The sequence below is a fragment of the Homo sapiens genome, chromosome 4 (assembly GCF_000001405.40).
Source record: "Homo sapiens chromosome 4, GRCh38.p14 Primary Assembly".
In the NCBI taxonomy this organism is placed as follows: domain Eukaryota; kingdom Metazoa; phylum Chordata; class Mammalia; order Primates; family Hominidae; genus Homo; species Homo sapiens.
This window is the reverse complement of record NC_000004.12, coordinates 130,069,622-130,076,220: the sequence shown is the minus strand read 5'-3', so window position 1 is coordinate 130,076,220 and position 6,599 is coordinate 130,069,622.

Below are 6,599 nucleotides of genomic sequence, written 5' to 3'. Positions count from 1 at the left end.
CTCACTTAACATTGTCAATAGGTTCTTGTAAGCTGTGACTTTAAATGAAACAGAATGTAAGGAAACCACTTTTACTAGTTTACTGGTATAGACTAATTGATATAAACGAGAGTTTAGTTCCTACAGCATATTTCTTGTCACGAAAACATCACCAAACTTATCAATAAAGACTAGAACGCTTCTAATATTGAATGTTGAAATAAATGTGAGCTATACCTACATTTAAGCAAGGTTAATTTTACAAAATAAGATAATTACCTAATTTTTCCAGTTCAGGGCCACAGGTAACCAGAGGCCATCACTGCAGCTGAGGGTACAAGCTGGGAACCAGCTCTAGATGGGAAGCCATCCCATTGCAGAGCACACTCACACACATACCCACACTTGGACGCACCAGTTCACCTAACATGCACATCTCTGGAATGTGGAAGGAAACAGGAGTTCCCAGAGAAAACCTAGGCAGACAGGAATGGAACAATCAAACTTAACACAGACAATGCTCTGCTAGGAATCAATTGTTTTTTCTCATCAATGTTATAATGAAACGATATCGAAGAAAATGACATTATTCAAGGACCAGCTGCACGTTATTAATAAAATATAAATTAACCTTTTACAGATTATAAACTCCATAACCAATTTACATCAAATAAAAGACTATTGAAAATGTTCTTCCTCTTTGTTGTTAAGGTTAGTTTTTAACAGGCTTTAGAATTCAAACAGGAAAAAAAATTCAAAAAAAGGATTATATCCAAAGTTGTCATCAGTACTAATGGCAGCTACTTTGTAACAGTGGGAAAAGTTATTCTCCTTCTACTTTCCTCTGCCCATCCCCCGTTTATTCAAAGCAGTCTCTTAGGTTCTGTTATTTACACTATCTTTTTGATATCTATATTAGATATTACCCTTTTGTACACTCTGTAGTTTTACTTTACTGCAGACACAGAATGGTCTACGTTCCAATTCCTTCATCCCTTAAAACCATGTTGAATTCATAAATTGTTCAATAATTGTGATCAGATATGTCTATTAGTTCTTCAATCCTCCCACCAATCTTGCCCTAAAGCCCCATATATATATTAATTTTATTACATATTTGTATTGCTAATATAAACACCTCTCCTAGCTAGCACCTGCCTTTCGTAAGTATATAGGCCCACTTGAAGCACAGAGAATTTACATTGATTTAGTCTGTGGCCCAAAGAGGAAAAAAAAATTGATTCTTCTTCTCCATCCTTATTTTGCCAGAAAAGAAGCAGCATTGGCTACAGTAAAGAAAGAGGGCTCTTAACTTCCACAGTAGAGAAAGACTGCTCCTGGTCACAGGTGCAACAGCCCTACTCCTCCTAAAGCAGAAATTCTGCCTGGTGATCTGGCATCCAGAAATTTAACATTCTCAATTAAATGAGGTGGTCTAACCTTCTAGTCTTTCTTTTTTTTTCAGAATGCCTGAAAGATAATAGCATTAATCATGAAAATAATAAGCAACTTCTGTTGCAAGTGCCTGCACTTAAACCTAAGTATGTTCCAATTCTGCACATTTGTAACATTGGTTAAGGAACTACCCCTTTGGGTCTTAAGTTTTTGTGCGGACAACATTTATGAAATTAAACTAATCCCAAGAAGAGAATTGAGCATTAGTAAAATAAATGGGGTGCTAATACTAAATAGATCATTTTATCTTTTACATACTTAATTCCTACTTTTTGATACTCTTGCTAAACCCAAATATCATGACCTGTAAAATAATCTTGAGTGAAAACCTGAAGAACTGAGGTGAAAAGCAACAGCGCCATCAATATGAGTACCTTCTGGCGGCAGCAGACAATCTCGTTGCATGCAGCCCTTGGCCTAGTGCTGATGCCTATGACAGGCTCAGGGCAGTGTTTGGCAGGCACTGGTGGAAGCTGATATGAGGAAGCGGGCAGGCACCTGCATACCTCCTGCTTTCAGGGAACAGGGGTGGCTGAGCAACAGGCAACACCAGAGAGCAGAGTAGGTAAGAAGAGGAATGGCAGCTGCCAAACAGTAACCAAGCACAAGCCTGTGGGCAAAACACCAAATTCATTCAGAATTTACAGAATGAGAGGAATTTGCGGGGTGCTAGAGTTTCAATGGAGCCAATATGGGTGAATTTAGGCAAATATTTCTGTTACTAATTTAGAAAGGCAGTTTTATCATTCATTAACTATATAACGTTGGAAAATATTGTTCTTGGGCTTCAGTTGACTCATCTTTAAAATGTGAGATAATAATAGCTACCTGGAAGAATTGTTGGAAGGATTAAATAAACATATACAGTTGACTCCTGTGTATCTATGTATCTATCTATCTATCTATCTATCTATCTATCTATCTATCTATCTATCATCTATCAAGATGTACATAAAAAAGCAGGCAAATCCTAACACTATATAAATGTTATTGTTATTATTATTACCTAATTTCCCTTCACCCCCGAATGCTGTGTCCTGGGGAGTATGAATTACACTATTTATAAAAGACTGCATATCATGGCAGGTGAGGGAACCCACAGTAGAGAAAGTAAAACAATAGAAAGTGAACACAAAAGTTGACACGAGTAGCAACTGCTGTTCATATTCCAATTTCAAGTAAATAGTAAAAATGGACATGTAAGTGCACTGGCTGACTGCTTATTTAAGACATACTTTAAAGCTAGTTCAGGTAGGCAGGTTTTCAAATGTGGTCAATGAATTAAACTGTGTCAGTTTCAAACTGTCACCATTAGAATCTAATTCAAATTTAAACAGCAATTTAAACAGTATAAAAGATTGCCCTCATCAGTCCTTCATAATCTTAACCTTTGGAGCTTTCCCCAGCACAGATAGCAAATTGAGTTAATTATTAGCCTTTCACCTAGGGGACCTAGGTAGAATTCAGCAGGTCAGAAGACAGCTAATGAGATTGGTAGGTTCATTTCAGTCCCCAGTGTACTTTAATCCCCAACACATATCCACCTGTCGTATTTTCCTACTGTTTTTTTTTCAGATAACATAATTCTAAGAAGTCAGAGTTGGCTGACATTTAAAATCCTCTTTGTAAAGTGACATACTCATATATACCAGTAAGGTCAAAGCAATGTCATATAGAAAACCACAAAAGAAAAAAATTAATGTCCAACAACAGAGTTGATTCCAATTGATTCCCATCATTTTGGGAGTGCATTTCTATTTCTAATATCTTCCAACAAAGCAAGCATCTCATTACATATTCATTAATTCATTTATATATTCAATTAGTACTTATAAATGATGAACATATGACAGTCCTTGTGGGTTCTGGGTACTTATTATCATAGAAATTATTGCCTGGTGGGAGATACAAACAGGTTAACCAAAAATTTTATTAAGGTATAACAAGATATGTAAAAGAGGGAGTATGAAGTTGCATAACCTGGACTGGGATGAGTCAAACAGGTTTTTTGAAGAAAATGATATCTAAGTTGGATCCTTAAGAATCAGTAGGTATTAGTTAAGCCTTGGAAATAAAATGAGGGTCTAGGGTAGTATATCTCAAGAAGAAGGAATGGAATATCCACAATTCTGGAACTTTAATGTGGCTGCAACGTAAGAGCATAAGAGGTGGGTGTTAGGGGAAGACACTGAAAAGAAAAATAAGCTCAGTACATTGTAAGACATTTAAAGAAATGTTGATTGTTTCCAGAAGGCAAGGACAACTAATTTCTGATAGGGACCATATCAGATTTGCATTTCAGAACGATTGTCCTGGCAGCATTAGTGCTAAACTGGCAAACCTGTGAAGAGGCTCTTGTAAAAAGTAAAGTTACTGATCATGATGAACTAGACAAAGGCAAAAACAATGAATATAGAGAAAAGTGAATGAGACTGAAAGATATTTGATAGAATAAACAGAACTGATGAATAGATGAATAAGGAGAAAATGATGTAGGAGTCAATTTAAAGGTCTAGCTTTCTTGTTTGATCCAACATGTAGGGGATGTTTTTGGTTAAAATAATAATAATAAAATCCTAGATGTATATTTCTAACTCCTCATTGGAAGCTAAATCTCCATGGGGTGCTAACATCCTGCATGTGTTCTGTTCCAGACTTCCTTTTAAAGGATGTTTGTACAACAAAGACACTCAGAAGATGCAGTGCCCGTGTCTTGGGCAGAGTGCAGATTTTTAAATAAAGATAATGTCTTACTGCAGTGCAAAGGTTGGAAAAGTTTGCTAGCAGCCATGTCTAACAGCTTAGGGCTGCCTTGGCTTAGAGTTCCTTAGCTGTGACACAGCCCCACTGTGTATGCATAACTGGGCCCTCCTCTACATTGCCCCATGGGACTTGGGGGCCTGGCAAAGGGAACTGATGTAAACATACAGTTCCTGCTTCCTGCTTTGCCATGAGTAAAAGCGTTCTTTTTCTCTGATCCAGTAGTTTCTTGTTTTCTGGGACCTCCATGAAACAGTAGCAGGCTAACCTGTTTTAATGTCAATACATTTCAGGTAATTCACAATTCTTGAACACTGCCCCACAACACCACTTTAAAATCATTTAAGGTTGTGGGTTTGGACTATTTGTGGTGATATAAAGTTATTATATTGAGGGTAGAAATTTAGGGTTAAAAAACATGTTAAATATATTTGAAACATTTTCAATTTTATATCTCTGTGAATACCTAAGTCCTATGTTTTTGTGTGTCAGCTTGTGTTTGTGCATCTAATTTTTGATAGATCAGTAACTAGCATATTACATTTGTATCCAAATTTTTAAAATTCTAAAATTGGCTTTTGCGGAGCTTAACTTTCATATTTGGAATCAAAAACTTAAAAAAATACATAAATTTAGATTTTAACATTAGAGAATGCAAATTGGCAAATTTGTAAGAAATTTTATTAACCCACTTAAAGTTTCCTGCAATTACTGCTGATTGCAACCAATAACTTAACAAATAAGGGGATTCTGACTTGAAAATTATAAAAGCAATGATACATTGTATAGCTAAAATTAAAAAAATTCTTTTAAGAAATGTTTGTTAGTACATTCTACAGGCTAGAAATACAACAACGAATAAAGAATCATCCCTATTCTCAAAAACTGAAAAATGTAAATAGAAAAATTGAAGCTGAGTAAAAAACAAAACATTTATTTTCGTTAAGTATGCATACTAATCTTATGGTTCTGGTCAAAGAAATGTGAGGAATTTAGAAATCTTATCATCTTTACTTCCAAGTATTCTACCTTTCTTTTTCCCTGAGTATGATAATTCAAAAGAATGACATACCCATGCTCCTGGGTAGGAAGAATCAATATCGTGAAAATGGCCATACTGCCCAAGGTAATTTATAAATTCAATGCCATCCCCATCAAGCTACCAATGACTTTCTTCACAGAACTGGAAAAAATACTTTAAAGTTCATATGGAACCAAAAAAGAGCCCGCATTGCCAAGTCAATCCTAAGCCAAAAGAACAAAGCTGGAGGCATCACGCTACCTGACTTCAAACTATACTACAAGGCTACAGTAACCAAAACAGCATGGTACTGGTACCAAAACAGAGATATAGATCAATGGAACAGAACAGAGCCCTCAGAAATAATGCCACATATCTACAAATATCTGATCTTTGACAAACCTGAGAAAAACAAGCAATGGGGAAAGGATTCCCTATTTAATAAATGGTGCTGGGAAAACTGGCTAGCCACATGTAGAAAGCTGAAACTGGATCCCTTCCTTACACCTTATACAAAAATTAATTCAAGATGGATTAAAGATTTAAATGTTAGACCTAAAACCATAAAAACCCTAGAAGAAAACCTAGGCAATACCATTCAAGACATAGGCATGGGCAAGGACTTCATGACTAAAACACCAAAAGCAATGGCAACAAAAGCCAAAATTGACAAATGGGATCTAATTAAACTAAAGAGCACAGCAAAAGAAACTACCATTGGAGTGAACAGGCAACCCACAAAATGGGAGAAAATTTTTGCAACTTACTCATCTGACAAAGGGCTAATATCCAGAATCTACAATGAACTCAAACAAATTTACAAGAAAAAAACAAACAACCCCATCAAAAAGTGGGCAAAGGACATGAACAGACACTTCTCAAAAGAAGACATTTATGCAGCCAAAAAACGCATGAAAAAATGCTCACCATCACTGGCCATCAGAGAAATACAAATCAAAACCACAATGAGATACCATCTCACACCAGTTAGAATGGCAATCATTAAAAAGTCAGGAAACAAGTGCTGGAGAGGATGTGGAGAAATACGAACACTTTTACACTGTTGGTGGGACTATAAACTAGTTCAATCATTGTTGAAGTCAGTGTGGCGATTCCTCAGGGATCTAGAATTAGAAATACCATTTGACCCAGCCATCCCATTACTGGGCATATGCCCAAAGGACTATAAATCATGCTGCTATAAAGACACATGCACATGTATGTTTATTGCGGCACTATTCACAATAGCAAAGACTTGGAACCAAGCCAAATGTCCAACAATGATAGACTGGATTAAGAAAATGTGGCACATATACACCATGGAATACTATGCAGCCATAAAAAATGATGAGTTCATGTCCTTTGTAGGGACATGGATGAAATT